Raw genomic sequence first — 26156 nt, 5'->3', positions numbered from 1 at the left:
TAAGTTATAGAGATCCATTGCACATTTGTCCTGTAGTTAAAAATACTGTATTTCACAGTTAAAAGTCTGTTGAAAGGGTAGATCTCATGTTAAATGTGCTTACCATGCTTTTTTTTAAAAAAGGACAAAGAGATTTCAGTGGTTATCTTCCTTCTCTTTTAAACCCAAAAGAAATGATATCAAAATATTTCTAGCCAATGGCCACTGAGGAATAAAAGAGGCTTTGATAATAATAATGCTAAAAAGCTGCATATTAGGTATTCGGCAATATGTGTACGTATGTATCTACATCTATCTACCTACCTACGTATCTATCTTCCCCATTCTCATTTAAATCTAAAAACCATTTTAAGAAGTAGGCACTATTGCCATCTTTCTTTTCTAAATCTTAGAGAGGTTAAATAATTTGCCCAAAGGACACAGAAAGTTAAGAAGCAGCATCAAAATTTAAATCCAGCCTTGTTTGAATAAAAAGCTTGGATTCTTTCCATTTCTCTCTTCTAATGTGAGAAGGATACACTTTTAACTCTTCAGCCCAGAAATCTTACCTTCATATGATCTGATTAGACAGAATGCAATCTAGATGACCTCTAGTTCCCATCCGGCACATCTTTCTTGGATTCTGTGATTCATTTACATAGTAAGAGTTTTCTTTCATATTTCATATTAATTTCACATTTCTCAGTGAACAGTCATCTTGAAGTTGAGTATAGCTTTGATCCAGTTTATTTTTTCTATTGTGAAAGTAATATATACTAATTAGAAATATGCTTATTATAGAAAATTTTAAAACTATCAAAATATAAACAGAGGAAAAAGATCTTCCACAGCCCCACAACACCAATGACTTTTGCTGAATTTTCTTCTAAGGTATTTTTTTCTGTGTATAAGGTTTTAGGTTTATTTTACGTTGTTTTGAACACAGTGGTAATCATGTTGCATATATCTATACAGTGAAAGTTTTCATTTAGCCATAAAATATTTACATTTTTTCATGCTGTTTATAAACATATTTTTAAGGCTGAACAATTCATTATTTCATAGAGTCAGATCCCTCCCCACCACTGAAAACATTAGGCTGAGTTTTAAACTAGGAGGAAGTTACCAATAGCACCTAAGCCCTTTTAGCGATGGTTTTAGAAAAGAGTACGTATCTGGTTATAAGGATACCCAAGTCTATGCTATTAATATATTTTTCTTCCATTTCTACTATAGTTCTCAAAACTTCTTTCTGCAGGATATCTACCTCGGCAAATATAAACTTCAAGGTTATCCTGGCATCAGTGTTATTACCCTATTAAGAACACTTGAGAAAAGTTCATATTGATTAGCATACCACTCCCACGTCTGCCTAACAAAAGCTTTCCTAAATATTAAAGTTGAATGTGAATGCTGTGCATGGACATCTACTACAGACTGCATAATATTGTAGCATTTGAATGGAAGCAATTGTTAAATACCATAATACAGAAATGACCCTTAGTGCTTGCCCTTCCCACTCATGAATTTCATATAATACAATTTATTTAATGTCCAGACATTTTACTGGGCAATTTTAGTGAGTGTCCTAGACTCTTAGGCACCATGGAGTTTGACCTTACTCAAAGCCTACTGCAGAAGCTTTGTCCCCTGAATACACAGTCCATGTGAAAGAGCCACAGGAGAAGAAGTCATTGTATGAGAAAAAGAAATATGAAGACCCAGCCTGTACTTGACATCTGTGATGAATGCAGCCTTTCAATGATGAACTCCTGCCAGCCCCACCTCAATTTGAATTTGCATTCTCCATTAATGTGGTTATAATGCTGGCCCTGGTCAAAGTCCCATCGTAAGTCTCCTGTTTCCTGGGTATAATACAAACATCAAGGTCACATACAAGCCAGCTGTTGACTAACAAAACAGTGAACTATTATTGAAGTAGCCTTGGGCCACTGTACAGAGTATTCTTTACATGCAACAAAAGCTATGTTGGGGACAATGTCAGAAATCAATTAGAACCACCAAAGATAATCTTTCATTCTCTCTCTCATACAAGCTCTATTTCACTTTGTCTTTCTTTTCCTTTTGAATTGTTTTGCAAGCAGTATTACCAATAAATCTATATCTGATCAGAAGTGGTTCATTTTGTAAAATATTATTGAAATCAAATTATTGATAAATAAGTATATTTTTATTGTTTGAACTGTTGGTACCTAGAGAAATGGTATCTTCTTGACTGCTTTGCCTCTCATTAGTATTTACATTTTTAAAAATTTTTTAAATTACTTTTTCTATGCATTTGGGAGCAAGAAATATAGCCCTTGGATTTTGTTGGAGCCAAAATACTGGAAAATATAAGGAAAAGCTTGTTTTTACAGGAGAAGACACACTCTCTAGCCCAAAGCCTAATTTTAAGCAGTTTATAGCCCCCATAACTAGCATTTACTCTGCATGGAAAGATATTTGAGGAAGAGGGCAACTACTGAGGGAATGAAGGATTTACAGTAGCAGTTGTTGGAATAACTGGACCTCAGCCTGTCCAACATTCTCCCAGATTTATAACACAAAATTACCATATCAGAATGAGACTCCAGGGAGCTAAAACAACCGATTGACAAGCTGTTCTGCTTCCTGTTAAGGCTGAGCTAGGTTTCTCTCCTTCTGGACCCTAAAACATTCAAAACTAGGCCAAGTTTTTAAGCCCCTGGTGGAAATTGCCTGCTTATTACCATTTCATCATTTTGTCATTATAAAAAAGCAAACACAGGGAAGTTATTTGCATAAAACAAGACAAAACAGTTACTCTTATGCTCCTGTTTCTGCTATCAGCTCTTAACACCTCACGGTAAATTTTTATTTATATTAAATGTTAACCTGACCAACTCATATTCTGTATTGGTCACTTCATAGAAACTTAAAGGACAGGCAACAGAGCATCACCAAAGGAAAGAAACTGTAGAGATCATTAAGATTAAATCTACCCCTTCAGTTACAGATGAGGAAACTGGGACTTTAAATAATGACAACAATAGCAACAACATTTACTGAACACTTTCATTATCCAGGTTACTTTTTAAGCCCATCTATTAAGTTAGTCCAATTTCTCCAAGTATATACCAGGGTCTTTTTAAACTGTTTTTGTGCATATTAATTTATTTTTCTCACAATTTATGAAGGAGATAGTGTTTTCATCTGTAAAACAAGAAGTTACAGCCAGGCACCATGGCTCACACCTATAATCCCAGCACTGTGGGAGGCCAAGGCTGGAGGATCACTTGAGGCCAGGAGTTCAAGATCAGCCTGGGCCACAGAGTGAGACCCCATGTCTACAAATAATTTTGTTTTAATTAGTCGGGCAGGGAGGTGCATGCCTATGGTCCCAGCTACTAGGGAGGCTGAGGCAAGAGGATCGCTTAAGCCCAGGAGTTCAAGGTTACAGTGAGCTATGATTGCACCACTGCACTCCACCCTGGATGACAGAGCAAGACCCTGTCTCAAAAAGAAAGGAAAACAAGAAGTTAGATGACTTGCTCAAGGCAAGAGCCACTTAAGTGGCCTGATATATTATATTGTTATACATTATTATATTATTTATATTGTTATTTATATTAAATTATATTAAATATATATTATAATAAAATTATATTGTTATATAAGAAATAATAAATATTATATGTTGAAACATAAGTTTCAACATATGATGTTTATTTTTTATTTTTACAGAAATCCATTTTTCTAAAAGCTTCTATGCATTGTCTGTTTCATTCAAGAGTATCGCAATAGGTCCATTATATGTTACTGAGGAAAATCAAGGACAAAATATGCTATATTCCATGTAATAAAGATCCTCTGATTTCATAAGATATTGCATTGAAATATCATCCCCACATCTGAAGAAAGTGTTAAGAAAATATCTGTTGAATCAAAATCTGAATTTCAGTCTTAGAGTCATAATATGGATCATCTTGATTCAGTGACCATATTTTGGAAGCTAAAAATTTAAAATAGATGGTCTTGGATGTGAGCTAAAAACTGGAGAGAATATTTGAAGCGGGGATTATTCCGGGAAATTCCATTTTTATCATCAGTGTGTGTGTGTGTGTGTGTGTGTGTGTTTAATGTGTATATGTGATAAATGTATTTGATGTGTGTTTAAGTGTGTGTGAATGTAAATGTAAAATGACTTCTTAAAACCTGATGATTTTAGAAACCATAGGTAAAGCCCAATAACAATTTGGAGTAGGAGTGAGAACAAGAGCATCCAATATTCTTTCACAAGGCAGTATTTGTACATTACCAGCTCCTCCCTGATTGTATGCCAGTTCCAGAAATGTCTTTTTTCCAAGTCCATATCAGAAAGTTAGGATCAGTCACTGTAAAAAGGTATGTTTAGGACAATTGTTTCAGAAAACTGCTAAAATATGCTTTTCTGTTAAGTGACTTGTGAGTTCTTTCCCAGTCCTTGCCACGTTGACACGGGTGGTTCTGTGATTGCTGAGTGTGTTCAATGAAGCAATGCTTGAAAAACAATTGAAACTCTGAGTTGATTGGGCCTACAACAGCAGTCTGCTTGAAATTACAAGCTGGGCTCCTTGAAATGAAACTTGTCATGCCCAGCAAAGCTGTTGACTGCCTCTCACCTCTGGGAATTTTTGGAGGAACTGAACTAGCCTGATGGATAGGTTCTAAACACCAAGCAACTTGGAAAATGTCCCCAAGCCTGCCCCTCTTTCAAAGCATCCAGGATGCTTGTGGCTGTGGGTTGTTTTCCTTGTTAGTCCCTGGCAGCATGGTAGTTATGCTTTGGGTAGCCTTTCGTTTAAAGAGGAGGAGATGGGCCTGCGCGGCAGCTCTCACCTGAAATCCCAGCACTTTGGGAGGCCAAGGAGGGCAGAACGCTTGAGCCCAGGAGTTCAAAACCAACCTGAGCAACATAGTGACACCCCATCTCTACTTTTTTAAAAAATTAATTATATATGTTTTTAAAAGATGATGAGATAATTGATAAGTTAATGTCCTCAGCAATTATAGGGCTTACCATTCACATATTTCTCCTTCTGAAAAAGAATTCTTCTTCCAGTTACCCAATTTATTTTAGGGACTGCCTTACTTGTCTCAAGCCTTAAGCCCATGGAGTTCTCATATTTGGCTAGAACGTGGCATTAGCTGCTTTTTAGACTGACACCATAATTATGAAGAGCCACTAAAATGGTATTTTCTCAAACAGACCCTACTGCCTAATAAAAGCTAGGTTTTTCTTTTCTAAAGAGTGAATAAAAACGAAACCTCATTTATTTTCAAGGAATTAGAATTGTCTATTATACCTGGTATAAACCCATGAATTTTCTTTTCATTCAGAATTTTAGGGACCTATTGAGTAGTACTTAATTTTGTAATTGTCCTCACTGCTAAATTTAGCTACTAAAAAATCCTATTTTTTTATTTGAAATAACCATGGCTCCAAAAATGTCTCTATTAGGTACATCTTACTCATCACCTAAAAATTATATTTGCTCTTTTAGCTAATAAAATTGCTGTAATAATGAAATTTTTGAGGTTATAAACTTTGAGCTTCACCTACCTATAGTTTCTACTGTGTAGAAACAAAAAATCATGGTGTCCTTAAAGTTTAGTAAAAAAGGGATGATTAAATTTCATCTACCCAGTATCTACCCAGTCATCCAAAATTTGAGATAAAGGGCACAAGTGATCCTAAAGACAGGCACAGTGTATACAAACACACACACACACACACACACAGTCTCCCCAGGCCTTCACACAATGCCTGACACTTTAAAGGCTCTTCGTTAATACATTTGAAAGGGCGGGAAGAAATAAAGAAGGAGAAAACATAACCAGCTGAAGTGCAGGGTTTGTATGAGACAGGGACTAAGCATTTGAATGTTTCTCGAATGTTTGTATGCCTCTACCTGTACATAACTTTCAAGCTAAGGAGTACTTTCCTGCAATGGACTGACAAGGGAGAGGTTAAAAAGGAAAGAAACATCTCTCACTGATGTCCATAAGTGAATAGCAAAGTGACAGACTCAAAGACAGGCACGGGACAGAAAATAATTACGTTGTACTTTGTGCAACTGTTGCCTCACTTAAATGCAGCAGGTTTGTAATTTCTAGCTAAAAATATACACCTTTTCATGCTATTTTACCAAGCCAACTTTTTGGAATTCGACTTTCTTTAACAGCTTGCTTTATTCCATGCTAGTTCTACTTGTGGGCATTTAGAGAATTCTCTACTGAAAAGGCAAAGTTTAAAAGAGATGATGATCAGTGATAAAATACATTTGAATAATGTGACCAGTCAGTAGGTGCTCTTGCCAAAGGATTAGAGAGCAAGTTCAAGTCTGTAGTGTAGGCCTGGCTCTTTCTTTATAACTAAGATTCTTTTTACCCTGTCCTGTAAATTGATGGTTTTCCAGGAAATAAGAGGAGATTGAATTCTGTACTTTAGAGAACAAAGAGGAAGTTGACAAACTGTCATGGTTCTTTTCTTCCCACCGGTAGTGGGCTTTTCTTTCAAGGGTCCATTGAGTAGAGGAATGAACTATACAAAATAAGGGGAAGTGTGGCTCCAGTGACAAAGCAGCTGCTTAATGTGGCCCCAAGGGCCAGCAGGCCTCTCTGATGACCACACAGGCTCTGTTGCTGCTCAACCTGTTGTTCTCTCAGTAGGTTCTTTACTTGCTCAAAAATAGTGACCATTGAAATTAATATGGAATACTACCTCTGACCTCATTGAGGCTTTCACTCATTCCCCTTCTGTCCCTCCACAAAATCCAAATGAGTGGAGAGGCCTGCCACAGACTACACAGCATGGGAATTCTAGCCATGTGACTTTCAGTAGATAGTCTACCTTTTTAAATCTGTGTTATCCCTACTGGAATAAGAATGATAATACTGAACATCACTGGGAAGATGTAGACTCACACATGTACAATGCTTAGAGGAGCGGTGGACACTGCAGTTGCTTTCATTACTGTTAAGAGCTCACTTCTATTCCTACCTTAAGCAGTTATATTTATTTCACTTAGCAACTGTTCTCCTTAAGAATCTAGATATGTTCAATTCTTAACTTCCTAGTAGAGATTAGCAGAAAGAGATCAAATAAAAATAATTAGAAAATGTTCCTGCTAAGAATATGGCAATCCCTAATTTATCAAATGGTCCCTAATACAGATCCCTTAACTACCCCAGAATATATGCAAGAATCAGAAAATAAGAAAATTAAAGGAAAAAAAGACTAATTTGAAGCCTGACATTGATATGAGACAATCACTAAATTCCCCACAGTCACAGGCATTAAATGCCACAGAAACCACCGCTTCTGTGCTTGGTTTTGATCGGGTGCTCCTGCCCAATGCAATTAGAAATCAGGGAGGCACAGTCAGTGAGAGTGGTGAGGACAGTTAGTCACACCATTGAGACAGAAAACTATAAATAGCAGACACGTGAACTCTCCCTGTGAGCAGTCCGGGGCCATTGAGAGAGGCCCAAATAGCCTATCATCCCTGACAGTCAATGAGAACATCGCTAAGTCACAACAAAAGATAATAATGGATTTTCATCCTACTTAATGTTGTCTAGGAAGATAGATGTGTCTATTCCTTTTTAGAAACGTTTTCATCCAAGAGAATTCACTTGTTTTTATTTGGCATTAATGGATAACCCATACTTGACTAGAAAATTTATAGAGCACTTCATTCTTCAATATTTCTACATAAAATAGGCATCATTCTAGAACTACAATCATTATAATGGGGAGATGTGAAAAAAAATGCCAGCATCTGACTGAAGTGGTAAATGTGATTTGAACATTTTTCCAAGTGTTCTTTGTGGAAAAGTCATTGCTGGGGAAATGGACAACCTGCCCTCTACAGTAAAATCATACCAGAGTTGCTTTCTGGGACAACGTTTAGCATATTTAGCACGTTTAACATTGCCCAGTCATGTGATTCACAAAACCATTGTATGTACATACATGTGTGCACGTCTACATAGTTCCTTATTGCTATGATAGGCAAGTGGATGTGGATAAAACTTCTCTCCAGTTTCACTCTCCAAAGAGATCAATCTGATGAAAGTTTCTATTTTTTTCATCTGGTATACACACACATTGTTCTATGGCAGTTATCGTCTAAAAAGCTGTTGACAGCCTATAAGTTTTGCCAAATCCGTTTCTTTTCTCACTATTTAGAATCTCCTCCAGGCTGCGATATAGCTCTGTTCAAAAGCATTTTAACAAAGAGCACAGTCTTTTTGCTAACCAGAACAAAAGCAAGGTTTCCAGGGCAGGGGGGCAGTAGAGACTCTAATTCTGATTCCACTGCAGAGTAGAACTTTGTCTGATTCATCGCCCCCCTATCCCGGCCTCCACCATCTTCCAGGGTCCTGCCCTGGGCTTATACTCAACCTTTGAGTCAAAAAGGATGGAAGCTCTTGATAAACCTGTCACTTTCCCCCAAATCATCCTGGCTTTCCTGTTTCTGTTAAGAGCAGCCCTTGGCCAGATGTGGTGGCTCACGCCTATAATCCCCGCACTTTGGGAGGCTGGGGCAGGTGCATCACCTGAAGTCAGGAGTTCAAGACCAGCCTGGCCAACATAGTGAAAGCCCTTCTCTACTAAAAATACAAAAATTAGCCGGGCATGGTGGCACATGCCTGTAGTCTAAGCTACTCGGGTGTCTGAGGCAGGAGAATCGCTTGAACCCGGGAGGCGGAGACTGCAGTGAACCAAGATCACACCATTACACTCCAGCCTGGGCAACACAGCGAGACTCTGTCTCACGAAAACAAACAAACAAACAAACAAAAAAGAGCAGCCCCATGCTCGCAGCACTGTGGCCAAAGAACTTGGAGTCATCTTTGATGCCTCCCTGCCCTTTATTCTTGTAAGTCAACATGCCTTATGATTCTTCTTAGAAGTCCCTCACACACGGCTTTGCCCCTGCATCACAACCACACTCCACCCCTATTCCAGGCCCTTATTATCTCATCTCAAGCCTGGTGCAGCTTCCCTGAAGCTGGGCCCCACCTCCAATCCTCACTCCAAGATTTAGTTACCTCTAACAGTGTTTTACTTTAGCAAGAAAGCCTAGAGAGGCTCCAGATCTGAGGTCAAATCTTGATTCTGTCACTTATCAGCTTAGTGATCTTGAGTAACTACTTCAATCTCTGAGCCTCACAGGATTGGTGTGAGGATTAAACCAGGTAATGTATATAAAGTGCCTGGCTCAAGGCCTAGTGTTTAGTGAATCATTGAAGATCATCCGTAGCTTGTCCCAGACTTGCTTTCTAGCTTGATTTTTTATAAGTTGCCTTTTCTTTACCCAACCCTCCAGCAAATTGACTATTTGCACACTCTGATTTTAATGTTCACTTTTCTCTTATTTTCTCTTACCATTTTCTTCTTCCTGCACCTCCCCACCACCAAACTTTGCTATTGAAATTAATATAGTCCACAAAGTCCAGGCCAAATCCTCATCTTCTCCATGACGTCTTACTGTGTCATCCCAGCCAGAAATGACCTTTGTCTCCTTAGCCCTTAAATTCTTTCCTAGAAAAAATTTTCTTGTCACTTTTATCACAGCTTCTTGATTTTGGTGATATTTGAATCTCTATTTCTCCCCAAAAGCAGTTTTTAGGCTGCTAATGATAGAGGCTGAATATACATGGGGATTTACATAGACTATTTGTCATTTAACAAGGCCTTAACTGTGAGAAAGAAACAAAACAAATTGTATCATTTTGCTGAGGATGTGTGTTTTCTGTGTGTATTAGTTCGTTCTTGCATTGCTTTAAAGAAATACCTGAGACTGGGTAATTTATAAAGAACAGAGGTTTAATTGGCTCATGGTTCCACAGGCTGTACAGGAAGCATATCAGCATCTGCTTCTGGGGAGGCCTCAGGGAGCTTTTACTCATGGCAGAAGACAAAGTGGGAGAAGGAGTCTTACATGGAAGGAGCAGAACCGAGAGAGAAGCGGGCAGTGCCACACACTTTTAAACAAAAGATCTCATGAGAACTCACTCACTATACAGTACCAAGGGGGGATGGTGCTAAACCATTCATGAGAACTCTGCCCCCACGATCCAATCACCTCCCACCAGGCCCACCTCCAACACCGGGGATTACAATTGAACATGAGATTTTGGTGGGGACACTGATCCAAACCATATCACTATGTTTAACACCTATACTTTCTCTTGCTGCAGACCTAGTGTCAAATTAAAACTCACCCGCTTTTACTGTATAATTCAGTAATAATAATGTTAGCATGCGTGTCTCAGGGCTATATGCTAAGTACTTAGTGTACATTATCTCACTTAACTTTCAACAGAAAACAATTCCAATGGGAAGTATAATTACTCCCACTTTTCAGATAAGGAACTTGAAGTTTAGAGGTGGCAAAGAACTTGTTCAAGGGCAGACACAGCTAGTAAGAGACAGGACGGAAACTCACATACAAGCAAATTGACTCCAGAGGCTGCTTGCTCCAAAACTCTGCTGTTACATGGAGAATCGGCTTGAAGAAGGGGCAAGGATATAAGCAAGAAAAATTCTTTTTTTTTTTTTTTTGAGACAGAGTCTCGCTCTGTCACCCAAGCTGGAGTGCGGTGATGCGATCTCAGCTCACTGCAACCTCCGTCTCCCGGGTTCAAGTGATCCTCCTGCCCCAGCCTCCTGAGTAGCTGGGACTACAAGCTGATGCCACCACACCTGGCTAATTTTTGTATTTTTAGTAGAGTCGGGGTTTCACCATGTTGGCTAGGCTGGTCTCGAACTCCTGACCTCAGGTGATCTACCCTCCTCGGCCTCCCGAAGTGCTGGGATTACAGATGTGAGCCAGCCCAGCCACAAGGAAACTTCTTAATGGGGCTATAGCGGTAACCTAGGAGAGGGGATAGTAGCCCAGACCTGGAATGGTGAGAAGTGGCTAAATTGTGGATTTAATGTAAAGGAGGAGACAAAAGAATTTGCTGGAGAACCATATACCATTAGTGGTATTAACTACTGATAATGACAATTATACTGATAATTACTCTTCTTGAAACTTCCTCACAAGTAGTCAGAGAGGTCCACTTAATTTTTTACATGTGACATGCAACAGTAAAAACAATCTTAAGAGAAACAGAGAGGAAAGAATTACTCCTCTTGGGAGAAAAGCTGTCACTCCTAAACAGTCATTCTAAAAAAAAAGTTAATAGTCTGAAAATCGTAGCCTATAATTTTTATGCAGAGTTTTGACCCTGGAGTAGTTAGCAACTATGACTTGTGCAATGGGCATAATAATAATGAGAATAAACTCAACTATTCAGTGATAGAATGTATGTACGTTTCTATGTCCATATTGGCTCAAGGAAGAGAGAGAGATTACTTGGGTTTAGGAACCCAAAGTGATAATAAAGCTGATAAACAGAAATGTTTTTTCTTTGATTGAATTCCATCTGAGCTTGAAATAATAGAACACTTTTCAAAATAAGGTTCATTGTAGATGGGGATAATATGACAGGGCCTTAGGCTAATAGTCCCTTTTACCATTAAAAAGAAAAGTCATGTTTTTCCATTGTCAGATCAGAAAATGAAGTTTTACGTGAGGACTTGCATTCTCCCACCAGCTTTAGTTTTAATTTGTCAAGCTGGTTTGCAGGGTAAACCTACTGGGGCTGCTTTTTGTTTCCCTTTGTATTTCCATTCTTGTCATAAGACAAAGGACGCTGCTTTGCTTCTTCTTCTCGAGTGGCCCTAGAAAAATGCCATGAGGAAAGCACAAATTGAAATTGAAAACTGAAAAAAGGAACAGAAAAAAAAGCAGCTTCTCCAGGCCCTGCATTGTGTAAATAAACAAGGGATTTTCTCTGCCCGTGGGACTGAGGACAGACACACAGGAGCAAGGAGAGAAGAACAGCGCCCAGCACCTGGCAGGCAGGTAGACTTACAGGCAGAGAAGGGTCTGGGGGGATTAGATTTCTGATAAATGACCTTTGTGATTTTCTTCTTTATTTGTCATTGTTTATGACAATAATCATCATGTTAAAATATAATCTCGTATCTGTTTACAAATGCTTTCAGATATATTAAACAAAATTTAGGATTATCTTGGGTCAAGCACAAACTCCAGAATGTCCTGGCATTGGCCCTGCGTGTCCTTCAAACACGGGTTTGCGCACACATCCACAGAGCAACCCAGAAACTTTTCTTTCTTTACCCTGTCTCAGGCCATGAATTTATTTTAATATTGGCTCTTATGAGCACATGGGAATGTTCCTGACCAAATGATAGTATCTCTTTTGCCTATGATTATCCTACAAGGCTACAAGCAAAGTGAGTCCTAACTCTTTAAGATCTGAGTGTCCCAGGACAGCACTGAGCCTGTTTGGCCTTTACTGGTAAGACTGAGGATGTGTATTAGGAGGAAACCTGATCGGTCTCCGGATGGGAAATAATGCAGAAACATACTGGCACCACAGCCCAGACATTGGGCAACTAATACTCCTTCCGTGACTAACCTGAACCTAATCGGGAGTGGTCAGTATTGGATATATTCCCCATCTAAAAAGTACAGGCTAGACTTGGACTGAGATTGGAGGAATTATTCCACAAACATTCATTGGGTGCCCAAAATGCGCCAGCCATACTACTGGGTTAAGGGGATGTAGAGATAGAATAGAACGGAGGGGAAGATCCTTGCCCCTTCTTCAAGCTGATTGTCCAAGTAACAGCAGAGTTTTGAAGCAAGCAGTGTCTGGAGTCAATTTGCTTGTACGTGAGTCTCTGTCTGGTCTCTTAGTAGCTGTACCTGCCCTTGAGCAAGTTCTTTCCCTTGCCCTCCAAGAAATCAAAGGCCATTAAAGGATGCAGATAAGCAGTAGGAGAATGGGCCTTCAAGCCAGGCTGTCTGGGCTCGAGTGTATCTCAGCCTTTCCGCCTGCATGGTTCTCCATGTGGTATCTAACCTCTCCGGCGTCAAGGTCATCAGCTGAGAAATGGGAAGAGTAACAGTAACTAAGGAGTATCCTTTTGTGGGATTGGATGAAGTCATGTTTGTGAAGTGCTTGCCCAGTGTTTAGCATGTCGTAAGTACACAATAAGTGACCATTAGTAATGTTGTCACCAATGTTGGTATCGTTTGTGCTGTGATAGAGGCATATTCACATAGTTCAGAGGCAGCACGGAGGCTAGGTGTCTAACCCAGGCAAGGCGTAATTAGCACCAAGATAAGCTTGCAGAAGATAACTGTGCCTCAGAGCACAAGGAACAGATAGCCAGACAGAGCTTCAGGGACAAGACAGACCAGCAGAGAGAACAGACTGGGCAAAGCTGCCACAAAGGGAGAGAGAGCATGACCAGGAAACACGCCAGGGACAGCAATGGAAAGGGAATTAGCAGTTACTGAGCCCATGCTAGCTACTAGAAATTGTGCTGTGTGACTTAAAAAGATGATCCCACACAAAGATTTGCAATAATCCTGAGATAGAGTCATCCTTATTTCACTTATTTGAGGAAGAAACCCCAAAGCTCAGAGAGGTGCAGTAGATGGCCTAAGGTTATACTGCTACTAACTGGCAAGATTCAGTTTTGCATCTGTATGATTCAAAAGTCCATGCTCCGTACACAATCTGTCCTCTCTGAGCCAGAGTATAAAATACATCCAGTTGTTGTGAGGGGCATGGGAGCTGTGGAAAATGATAACCCAGGAGCTAGGCCAAGAAAGTGCCAGTGTCTGCAGTAAAAGGCTTGAGCATTGCTCTGGGTCATGGGCATTGATGGGATATTATCAGCCTAGGAATAACGGGTTTTCCCGAATAGGGGGAGGGTTGTCACGTGACACTTAGCTTACTTTGTAGGCATAAGAACTGGGTGAGTCTAACTGGCTAAGCATCAACAGTGTGGTATTTGTGGTGTAGAATAGAGATCATGGTGCCATGGTCCAGCCGAAAAACATATGAACAACATTTTTAAAATGGTAATTTGCCCTAAGCTAATGAACAGATTCCCTAAAACAGCAAATGGCATGGTGGCTTACGCCTGTAATCCCAGCACTTTGGGAGGCCGAGGCGGGTGGATCACGAGGTCAGGAGATTGAGACCATCCGGGCTAACATGGTGAAACCCCATCTCTACTAAAAATACAAAAAATTAGCCGGGCGTGGTGGCGGGTGCCTGTAGTCCCAGCTACTCGGGAGGCTGAGGCAGGAGAATGGCGTGAACCCAGGAGGCGGAGCTTGCAGTGAGCCGAGATCGCGCCACTGTGCTCCAGCCTGGGTGAAAGAGCAAGACTCCGTCTCAAAAAAAAAGATTTTCATATGGTACCATCCATGAAAACCAACGTCTCTTCCTATGGATGTTGTTAAGGAATTAATGTATGAAGTAGGAGACAGGGCCTATTAGATGCCCTAATGCTGATTTTCTACCATTCTGAGCCTGAGGAAAGAAAATCTATGGCTTCTAGAGCTTAAAAGATCTCCAGTCACCAGCTAGTCAAACTTATTTTTTTTGCAGATGGTAAAACCAAGGTTTAGAAAAGGGACGTGATTAGGCCAAGATCCTTTCAACACAGGACATCTGCCATACTAAAAGGACCTCATACGGTCAGTCTCACAAAAAAAACCCAGGAAACTAAAGGCAGTGACCAGTGACACAGGCTGAAATGGATGTTTTCTTCCAAAACATTTCCCCTGACCTCCATGGCAGAGTCTCTCAGAGTCTCTAAAGTGAGTGTTATTTGAGCAGCTCTCTCCCACTGCTCCACCAGGCAAGGTGCCAAAGGGGCAAGAAGGCAGATCCCTCAGCCTCAGCGAGCTTATACACCCTGCCATTAGGATGTTGGTCTCTAGTGTTCTTCATAGTTAAGCAGGAAGGGAAGAAGAAGTAAAATGTATCTTTTCCTAAAGTAATCAGAAAATCCGAACTGCTATTTTTTGTACCCTCAAAGGTCCCTTTCGCTGGTTCTGATTCAGGGTTGCCCCACCCAAGTTAGATAAGGGTAAGATTGGCCCAGTAACAAGTGGTATGACCTCCTGGTGGGCAGGTCCCCAGAGAGGTAAACCAAGGGCATCTGGTCTACCAACTGGAACGTGTCAAGATTGTCACCAGGGGAACTGGACTAGTTTGAGTAGGGAGGCAAGAAAACTTCTCTGTCTATAGCACTTTATGATACCTTCATGACACTCTCTCGCCTGGTGATAGTTTCTTAAAAAAGGGCTCAGGCTGCAGAAGTATTTGATGTCCTGACAAACATGAAAGGGAAGTACAGAAAATATAGTTCCATCTTGTAATGATGAAAAAATATGACAAAATGTCAAAAAAAAAGCGCTAAAAATGTTTACAACCCCATAAGAAATCCATATGGTGTTGGCCTGGAAGAACTGTCTCTGGTTCTGGGTGTTCCTTCTCAGAGGGATGTCTACTAATTTTTTCAACCATCTGGTTGGCTGACAAGATGGAAGGTAACAAATATTCTGAATTCTGCTAGCCAAGGCCATGAGATATATAAAGAAGCTTCTGGAAATATTATTGCTGGACCTGTGGCATCTGTCACATTAGCCTCTAGTGAGGTACATTACACAGTTTTATGATCAATGAAAGAGGTAACATCAATTGCCAGGAAAAGGATTGAAAGCAGGGAAGAGTAGACGACACGTTGTCATCTAGTTCCAACCCCCTAGAGAACCTCAATGAACTTTTCCTGTAGAATTACTAGATGAAGAATTTTCACTTGTTTCCATTTTTTGCCCTCATCACAAAATCAGCAGAGCTGCTTTCTCCTGTCCTCCTGACATGTCACCTTAGGATCAAAGACTGCTCTCTCAAGGATGAAAGATATGTCAATCATAGGTCCAGGGAGGCTTGGTTGAGTGACTGACCCATATTTTAAAATTTTCTCACTGTGATATGTCATATGTGCTTTAAAAAACCCCAAACCTCATGTTCACTGAATGATTTCATTTGCTCCTCCAGTAATATAAGCCAGCACTGCACTGCATAAGCCATATGCAGCATTCAAAGTGCTAAAGCAAAAATCAGGAAAGTGAAAATAGGAGAGAGTGACAAAGTCAATATGTTTTTTCAGGACCCCTTTTCCAAGAAGCGAGAGCTTAAACTCATTCTGGCAGTTGGTAGTAGTGCAAATAGAGAGGAATAAGAGCTGATTCTGCGCATGGCTCCTCCGCCTCGAAGTATAAAGGCTACATTCTCAACATATGCACATGCCTGTGTTTTGCAGTGCCATTTTAGAGCAATCACCTCTCCCTAGGACTTTCATCAATGGGACTGGAGTGCCATCACAGCAAATCTGGTTCAAGGACAACACAAGCTTCCTTTTACTGTAACTTGCTTTTATTTGCTAAAATACTCATTTCTAGCTACGAGGCAATTTATGACAAAAGCCCCAAACTTCTAGGGGTTATTTTTAAAACTAAATGCTAAATATAGAACAGGACTCATACATAAAGATGTTCATCACACTATTATTTATATGAAACATTTAGAAACTTTGTAAGTGTCCAGCAATGGGGGTATTAAGTGAACTACAACACATCTATTGGACAAAATACTCTGCAAACATTAAAAATTATGTTTTGAAGAATTCCCAAGAATACAGAAAAGTGCTTGGTGATAATGTTAATGGAGAATAAAATGAGACTACAAACTAGTATTTCACAAATATGCTCTCCCCTTCCCCCCACAAACTCTGCCTATGGCAGGGGGGAAAAAAGAAAGCCCCGCAAGCGTGTCCAACCCACCTTATTTTGTTTTTGTTGTTCTGTTTTGTTTTGTTTTAGACTTTTAGCAGCCTAAAGCCATGGATTTTAGTTTCTGTCTCTAGTGATAAGAGGAAAAGAGGGATGAGGAAGGGGGCTTTACTGGCCCAACCAGAAACAGGAACTAAGAACCCATGACTGTATACTCTCCCTGGGACATGCAAAAGGAAGCATACCAAAATATCCTCAGTAGTCTCAGTAGTGTCTTTGAGTAGGACTTGAGGTTTGGGGAATTATTTTTCATTGATCTTTTTCTAAACTTTCTATAATTTTTAATGATAAGTATGCATTGCTTTTATAATAAGAAAAAAGAAATGATTTTCTGTGTTGGAACCTGTAGACCTCTAGCCTCTGAATTGCATTTCTTGGGAGGAGAAACAAACTCCAGGGTTCTTAAATGACGGTGGGAGGAATAAGGGAAAAAAGGAATGAGGGATTAGAGTCAAAAGCAAAACCTCTGTCGTTCTCTGGCACTCTTCACTAATTGCCAAGTTGTTCATCCACGATGATCCCTTGGGAGAGTATGGAGTTGAGTGGTGCTGTGAGTGTGCTTGAATCTATAAGACAATCTCCTACTTAAAGTAACCTAAATCAGACTATGTTTTCTAAAGTTAGACATAATGCACCTTTAAAATAAACTGACAAGTCCATTGTAAAATAAAATATCCTTTTGAAAGTCAAATAATCGCTTATTTTTTCTAATGTATAAATTCATACATGAAAGTCTTATAAGACATACTAGAATCATATCAATTTCACCCAATTTCTAGCTCCCTAGCATCACTTTTAAGTCACCCACTTCGACCTAAAACTTTGAGACTTGTTCAAAAATATTACACGAAAAATCAATATTTAATTTATATGGAACTTGGTGACAAATAATTGAACTTATCTGATATTAATTTTCTAGTAGAAATTTTGCATTTCACTTTCCACTGATCTTTTGTTTGCTCAGTTCCAGGTGTGTTTGCATTTCCTAATTTTCTCCAATTTCCTTCCCTCCTCCATATAAATCATCATGTTCATTTCTAGAAGTCAGTCTCTTTGGCAAAATGTTAACATTAAGAATTTTATCAACCAAAGACAGTTTTTCTCAAAGACTGAAAATCGAATACGAATATGTTTTAGATGCATAGTATTCTATTCATCAAGTTGGCATTGTTCTCTTCCCTGTACCAAGTCAACTTTAATTACGCCAAAGAGAAAACAGAAGCTAATATGTGCTTACAGGCATTTCGTTGCTGATCAGGAATCCTGTTTGGATCCCTATCAAGAGTCTTGTATCATTTCGTATCTTGATGAACATAGATTTTTGTGTTTTCTATTAATTGCTGCATTATTTCAAATTATTTTAAATACTGATGATTCATCCAGGAAACATTATGCTAAGCTGGCGGCTTTTAAAAGTCACTGCATTAGCTTCTCCCTAGCCCTGGAGGTGGGGTTAAAAATAAATAAATATAAATAAATATAAATAAATAAATAAAAAGTTATTTCATTGTAGCGACTGAATTGCTTACTGAGTCTAATTCTCTTCCTGTTTCCCTGCTTCTATCCTTGGTAAACACATTGCCAGATTCTATGAAAAAACTGAGTAGGAAAATAGGAAATATTTCAGAGATTAGTTTATGAAAGCCGAAGATGTACCATTTTTAGTGTGCTCAAGCCTATTGTTAACATGATTATAGGCAGACTGTTCTAAATTCTTAGATGATAAGAACTTTCTTTGTTGATTATCTATCGTATAGCTATGAGAATATTTCTAAAATTCTCAGACATGTTACAAACCATTTGTCAAACTCAGATATCATTTCTTACATATCTAACACAGCATGAAATGATTGTAGAGTGTTCCTTTATATTTTTTGATAGATTGAACCAAACTGTCCTTGCAGCTTATAGATGCTTTTCACTCTAATATCATGTTTATTTTCATTTTCAAAAGCTCTACTACATCTTCATCTCTATTTTCATGGATTCATTGCTCACCGTGGCATACATATAAATCACAAATTAAGCTAATTAATAGATACCTTGAAAGTGAGTCAATTTCATTGTCCCAATATTTTTTATATCCTTATCTTATTTAACTGTAAGACCTGCTGAGTTTTAGAAATGGAAAGTCTGTGACTAACTCAGCCACATATACTATGTCTTGTTATTTAGGTGGTGAATATGCCTATTTTTTTCCCAGAAAATGAACCAAACTCTTTTCAAACATAAAATTATTTCCATGTTTCTGCTTGGTTTTTCTATAATATATTCCTGCTTTGAGTCTTCAAGTTTAAACTATATAGAACCAAAGTTTCATATGTATTAGTGAAACATGCTTTAGGGTAAATTGGTGCTGCCTATGGCTCAAAAATGTCACACTCATATCAAGTCTCAAAAAAATAGCCTATCATTCTCTTATTGGTTCCGTCTGTGCTTTGTTACTTCTTTTTCCCTGTCTTCTTTTGGATTATTATTACTTCACTTCATCTCTCTTGTTGTTTTTTTTTTAAAGTAATTTAGTGATGGTTACTGTAGTTGTTGCTTTGGGACCTACAGCATAACACTAACTTTTCACAGTCTACTTTTCAGTATTCATCGATAGTGTAAAAACCTTAAAACTGTGCCCTTCTATTGCCTTTCCCTGCCTTTATGCTAATGCTATAATATATTTTACTTATATATGTTATAAATTCTACAATGTATTATTATTGTTATAAAAGTCAGTTGTCTTTTAAATAGTTTTAAATAATAGCAAAATATACATTTACCCATGCAATTACCACCCCCCAAAAATGTTTTAAATAATGCCTAACCTGAGGCAGCCCACTTTCTATCCCATAATGCTTGACTGGGTGATTGACCCCTGAACAATAATAGAGTGTTCAGTAGACTCTTGTGTTAAAATTGGCTCTTGACACTTGTGACAAACTCTTGGTCTGTGGCTTAATACACCACATTCACTTTGCTATGTTACCATTCTTGTGTTGAATGTACTCCTTTTTAATGTTTGCTTCTTTCAAACCAGTCTCCTAAACATAACCACTTGGTAATAATTCATCTACTCAACAAATGCTTACTGAGCAAGGACTAGGACTCCTGACTGCAAATAAACTGCTCTTCAGTGCAGAGAGATGTGTGCAAATAGAGATTGGAAGTGGCATCCTGGAATGCCTTAAGCTTAGAGAATCATAGGGGCATGAAGAGAAAGCAAGGGTTGGATCCTAGTTACATTATAGAAGAGAGCTTCTTAAATGCACATGTCTACTGAAAGTCTTCTAGTTTGTTCACCAAGCAGAGGGAAGGGTATTTCAGCAAGGAACTGAATGAACAAAAAGGCAGATAGGCTAGAAACAACGTAAAGGATCCTGAGAGGAGCAAGATGCTCAGCCCAGCTAGGGCATCAGGTACGTGGGATTGGGTCATGCTGTGATGGTGGGAGTGCAGTCAGCAAGAGATAAGACCAAAGAAAGGATTGATGGAAAACCAAGTCTGGTATGTTTTCACTAATAAGTAGGAGCTAAGCTATGAGGATGCAAAGGCATAAGTATGATATAATGGACTAAGGGGATTTGTGGGGGAAGGTTGGGAGGATGGTTGGGTACAATATTGGGTACAATGTACACTGCTCGGATGACAGGTGCACTAAAATCTCAGAAATCACCACTATAGAACTTATCCATGTAACCAAAGGCCACCTGTACTCCAAAAACTATTGAAATAAAAATAATTTTTTTAAAGTTTTGGGAGTGTGACATCAGCAGTCTTTGAATGCCCTGCTAAGAATTTTTAGCTTTATGTCATAGGGAATGAAGGCCACTTTAAACGTCCTAATATGGAGAGTGATATAATCAGGCATGGAAGATGGCCTGAACAGCTGCACAGAGACTAGAATGAAAGGAGGGATGGACAGGACCAGAATCAAGAAGACTAGCAAAAAAAGGAGTGTAATAGTAGATGCCACAGACTGAACAAAGGCTGACAATGAGGACAGAGAAAGAGAAGTAGATAGGAGGAAGAACCCATGTGGCAGAGAACTTTTCACTGTCTGGCAGATCATATGTTTTACTTACTTTTGCTCTGTCTTCCCTTTCTAGAAGGCAGGTTCTATGAAGGCAGGGAGTTGTTGTCAGTGTGGTTCACTGCTCCATTCCCAGCACCTAAACGGTGCCTGGCACAGAAGAGATACTCAATTAATATGCCCAATAACAAATCAACTACATGCAAGAGGGTGAGAGTGACAAGTGCAATGTGCAGATTTCTGACTTTTAAGGGGGCACAAAATAAGAGCAAGCACATACACAGGAAAGCTGGTTGGCAGGCGGGTTGGTGGGATGGAGAAAAGGGGACCATATCAGTTTGAAAGATTTTGCTTCTCTTCAACGTGAGAATCAAAATTCCATCTAGCCTAAGGTAATCTGTCCACAAGAGAGCAGAAGATATAATCCATCAAACTGAATTCGGAGGAAAAGTGTTTTTTTAACAAAATGTTTTGATGTTGAGTTTTTTGGGATTTTCAAGAAGAATCTCACTGTATTCCATAGTGCTTTGATAAGATCAACTACCCAGTTGCAAACATCCAAAAGTTTTAGGGTGCATGTTGAAAATACCAATTTTATAGTAAATAAATATCAGACTTTACTAAATCACCTACAAAATGATTAAGTTAATAACTTTTACTTCTACCCAATTTAAAATCTTTTTCTATTAAAATTCATATTGGTGAGATTTGATAGAATGAGCATATATGCCTATCTCCCTTCCTGCTCCTCATCCTCAAATAACACAAAAAAGACAAAATCACAAATATGTATATCTCCTCAGCAGATTCTATAAGTGCTCATCATGAAGGGAGAGGGAAAAGTATACCACATTATGAGACAAGAAATTTTTAGCAATTTCTGGAATGTTAAAGGAGGTATAGAAACTAGTGTTTCAGATCCAGCGCAGTGGCTGACACCCGTGATCCCAACACGTTGGGAGGCCAAGACGGGCAGATCACTTGAGCCCGGGGTGAAACCCTGTCTCTAAAAAACATACAAAAATTAGCCGGGCATGGTGGTGTGCACCTGTAGCCCCAGCTATTCAGGAGGCTGAAGCAGAAGGATCACCTGAGCCTTGGGAGGTTGAGGCTGCAGTGAGCCAAGATCATGCACTCCAGCCTGGGAGACAGAGTGAGACCCTGTCTCAAAAAAGAAAAAAAAAAAGAAAAAGAAAAGAAAAGAAAGAGGGAGGGAGGGAGAGAGAAAAGGAGGGAAAGATGGAGGGAGGGAGGGAGAGAAGGAGGAAGGGAAGGAAGGAAGGAAGGAAGGAAGGAAGGAAGGAAGGAAGGAAGGAAGGAAGGAAAGAAGGAAGGAGTTTCCAGGAAGGAAGGCAGGAAGGGAGAGAGGGAGTGAGGGAGGAAGGAGTTTCCAGGAAGGGCGGGAGGGAGGGAGGGAGGGAGGGAGGGAGGGAGGGGTTTCCAAATTATTCTAGGAGAAAAGTATACACTATGAACAGTTATTTCAGTTACCATACAGGATCAAAATAAAGGCAGGGAACAGGAAAGGGCCCTGAGAGTAAAATCAGAATAATAAATTAAAGAACTCCCCTCAGAGTAGCTAATAGGCCAAGAAATTCCATATCTACAAAGTTTATTTTACTGATATACTCACCCATGTGCATATACAGATATTCACTGCAATGGCGTTTGTAATAGCAAAAGATTGAAAATTGATCCAAATGTTCATTAGCGGAAGACTGGCTAAATAAGTCATGGTACATGCATATAATAAAATATTCTACAGCCAACAAATTATGATATCTATGTATATATACACATATATCATTATTTGTATATATGTATATGTACATATATGTGGTTTTACATACGTATGTGTGTATATACATGTGTGGTTTTACATATGTGTGTGTATATATACACATGTGTATATATTACATATATTAATACATGTATATATGTATTAATATGTATATACACACATATATACCCATATATATACACATATACCTAACCATATAAACATATATATGTATATGATTAGGTAATTTATAGGATATATATAAATCCACTGTAATATTAAAAACACAATTTTTAGTAAAAGGAAATAAATTACATTTAAAAATGAACGAAAATGACAGTGCATATAAAAAATGTGAGATACATAATTTTAAATGCATTAATTAGAAAACAAGAAAGAATAAAAATAAATTGACTAGGAAGTCAACTTAAGATTCTATGAAAAGAACACCTAAGGAAGCAAAAGTAGAAGAAATGAATGGATAATGATAAAAGATAATACTTTAAACTGTATGTAATAATATTGGGCCAGGCATGGTGTCTCATGCCTGTAATCCCAACACTTTGAGAGGCCAAGGTGTGAGGATGGCTTAAGTCCAAGAGTTTGAGATCGCTCTGGGCAACATAGTGAGACCCCCATCTCTACAAAAAGTTAAAAATTTATCAGAGAGTGGTGGTGCATGACTGTAGTCCCAGGTACTCAGGAGGCTGAGGTGGGAGGGTCACTTGAGCCTGGGAGTTCAAGGTTATACTGAGCTATGCTCATGCCATTGCACTCCAGCCTGGGCAACAGAGTGAGACCTTGTCTCAGAAAATAACAATAATAATAATATTGATCAATACAATGAAAAACTGATTCTTTGAAATGACCATGATTTTGATATAGTGAAACAGAGAGAGGAATGAAAACATTGCCATATAATTCTGGATATAAAAGAGATTTTAAAACAGTAAGAGAATTCTATGTACAACTAAATAACAATAAATGTGAAAATTTGAAATTTTGGGATTTGATACGTTGACATAAAATTTCTTGATTTTGATATTCTTAACAACACTGGGTCTTATTTGCTAATATTTTATTTAGGATGAAATAAAATATTAGCAAAATGTTGATGAAATGCTCGATTATCTAGAAAAACATGAACTTGAGTCAATGAGAGGCAGAAAATCTCAACTGATCAATAACTGTTGAAGAAATTATAAAGATAATCAGCAATCTATCCATAAAAATGGTCCGGCACCAAACAGCATATAAACATCCTGCTAACTCTGCCAGAAGCAGGTGAATTCCTTTGTTATAGGGACTATCTGCAACATGAAGGGGAAAACGTTCCCAACTCAGAAGGTTAGCGTAACTCTAATACCCAAACCAGATAAGACTGGTGACAGGTACCAACCTCACTCACAAACATCATTGCAAAAATCCTAAATAAAGTATTAGCAAATAAGATTCAGTGTTGCTAAGAATAATGCATCAAAATCAAGGAATTTTATGTCGACATACCATCTCCCAAAACTACTATTTTAATTCACATTCCCTCCAAGAATATTTAAGAATACCTGTTTTTTCCATCTCTGCCAACATTGATGGGTGATAGGAAAGGAAGGCCTTAGTTTTTCTTTGACTTTTTTTTTCTGAAGCAGATATGAAAAATATATAATTAATATTTTTAAACATTCAAATTTCAAATAAAATAAAAATGGAGTGGTGATGAATACATAATATCTCAGGTTAGTCCAGGCAAGATTATAATGTAACTTTCTCTTTGGAGCCTCCAGCCTCCCCTTGGTCCTCCCTTTTCCTCTTTTTAAGGCATCCTTCCTCCCACACCCTGGGTCACTCCCGGGTCCTTGGGTTCTGAAACCAGCACAAGGATGGGGCATGAACAGGTGAGCAGTCATTGCCCCCACATCGGTTTTCCAGAAAAACTGTGAAGCCCTGTTGTACCAAAATATTCCAAGGCCCTTTCCTCAGAAACCCTATGGAAACACTGCATTTACCCATCTTCCTTTCCTCAACCTCAAACCTAAATGTGTTGCTAGGAAAACCTGATAATCTTGTATTTCAGGGTAAATTTAATCTTATCTATTTGCTGCCTCGGAAGAATTTCCATCTGAAATGTGATCTTTATGAAGCAAAATTTTAGTCATCAGCAGAACAAGTCAGATGGTTAAGGAATTCCATTTGATGCCTAATTTCTTAATTCTAAACAATGAACTCTGATGTTATCCTGAGTGTCCTCAGCTTGCTGCCAGCTAAGTACATGATACATGATAATATCTTTCAGACCATAGCCAGCCCTGGCGTAAAGAGTTGACTTAAAGGGCCAGCCAAAATTTCACCTCTGTCCCCTGGTTCTTTCTCCAGTGGACCCCAAATTTTCCCCTTAATTCAGGAATCCCTTCCTGAGTTCAGAGGATAGAATAGTTCCCTCTCAACTTCCAAGTGGAAACTTTGGGGGCATTAAATAGCTGTTTGGGATAATGTCCAGATGGCATCTTGGCCAAACCTGTAGTTATGCAGAAGCAGATTTCTGGAAAATTTAATTGAATTGGGACACACCTCTACCTGACGGCCCTTACCAGAGATCACAACTATAACCTATGATCCAAATACAGCAGATAGATGGAGTTTGTTTGGCTCTTCATATTTTAAGTTTTTTAGATCAGGGCCATACATGGTGGCTCACATCTGTAATCCCAGCACTTTGGGAGGCCAAGACCAGGAGTTCAGGACCAGCCTGGGCAACATAATGAAACCCCATCTCTACAAAAAAAAAAAAAAAAAAAAAAAAAAAAAAGGAGAGAGAGAGAAAGAGAGAAAAGGAAGGAAAGGAAGGAAGGAAGCTGGGCATGGTGGCACATGCCTATAGTCTCAGCTACTCAGGAGGCTGAAGTGGAAGGATTGTTTGAACCCAGGAGATTGAGGCTGCAGTGAGCTATGATCATACCACTGTACTCCAGCCTGAGTGACAGAAAAAGACCTTGTCTCAAAAAAAATTGTTTTCAGTTCAAATATCTGTGAAGGCATTTCAATTTGCAATTTCTGCCTTACCCTCATCCCAGTCTCTGACCTTAGGACGTAAACAGGTACAAGAGTCAAGTGTTCGTATTATCTTATTCTTCCCTCTCCTTATTTTTTCCCAAGTTATAAAGGTGAGAGTTATTCAATTCCAATCACAGCTGTTCTTCTAGCTCATTGTGTGACCTTAAACAAACTACCTTGTCTTTAGGTGGTGGACTGGAAGTTTTCTAAGGCAACTAATTAACAGTCTGTGGTTCTGTGTGTCTATTCTCACTACCATAGTGATAAAACCTAGACTTATAGATTAGCAAATCTGATTGTTTACTTCCTATGTAGTTGGAAATACATAAGCACCATTATTATCCCATTCTAGAGATAAGCTCGAGGCATGAAACAGTTGAGTACTATAATAACTCAAATGTGGATATTCAAGCAATATTTTGGCTTTTTTTCTATAGCCTCCTCTGACTTGGAAAACAAATGCTTCATTATTGTTAAGCATTGTTTGGAAATTTTTCTTTCCCTCTTTCTCTGCCATTAGTTATCACTGCCCCAGAAGTTGAGAGTTATGCCTGAGGCC

General features: G+C 38.8%; 1 protein-coding gene and 1 long non-coding RNA gene across 20 annotated transcripts in view, besides 1 other annotated feature; one reads left to right on the top strand and one right to left on the bottom strand.

The window, feature by feature from the left end:
- Window positions 1-6979: part of a sequence alteration artifact (region identified as an assembly artifact by the Genome Reference Consortium. This region falsely duplicates sequence located at GRCh38 chr9:70719795..70737787) that runs on past the window's edge.
- Window positions 1-26156, top strand: part of TRPM3 (transient receptor potential cation channel subfamily M member 3) — a 917912-nt gene that overhangs the window by 738191 nt on the left and 153565 nt on the right. The gene's annotated exons all lie outside the window — the stretch shown is intronic.
- Window positions 1-26156, bottom strand: part of LOC105376078 (uncharacterized) — a 49773-nt gene that overhangs the window by 9678 nt on the left and 13939 nt on the right. The window contains exons 2-5 of the long non-coding RNA XR_007061573.1: window positions 24112-24186; window positions 20822-20919; window positions 17986-18189; window positions 549-734 (exon numbers count right to left, since the gene is read on the bottom strand). This is a non-coding gene — a long non-coding RNA (uncharacterized LOC105376078). The remainder of the gene's footprint in view (window positions 1-548; window positions 735-17985; window positions 18190-20821; window positions 20920-24111; window positions 24187-26156) is intronic.

The sequence above is a fragment of the Homo sapiens genome, chromosome 9, assembly GCF_000001405.40.
Source record: "Homo sapiens chromosome 9, GRCh38.p14 Primary Assembly".
NCBI classification, from domain to species: domain Eukaryota; kingdom Metazoa; phylum Chordata; class Mammalia; order Primates; family Hominidae; genus Homo; species Homo sapiens.
Note: the sequence above shows the minus strand (reverse complement) of the source record. Positions and strands in the feature narration are given on the sequence as shown.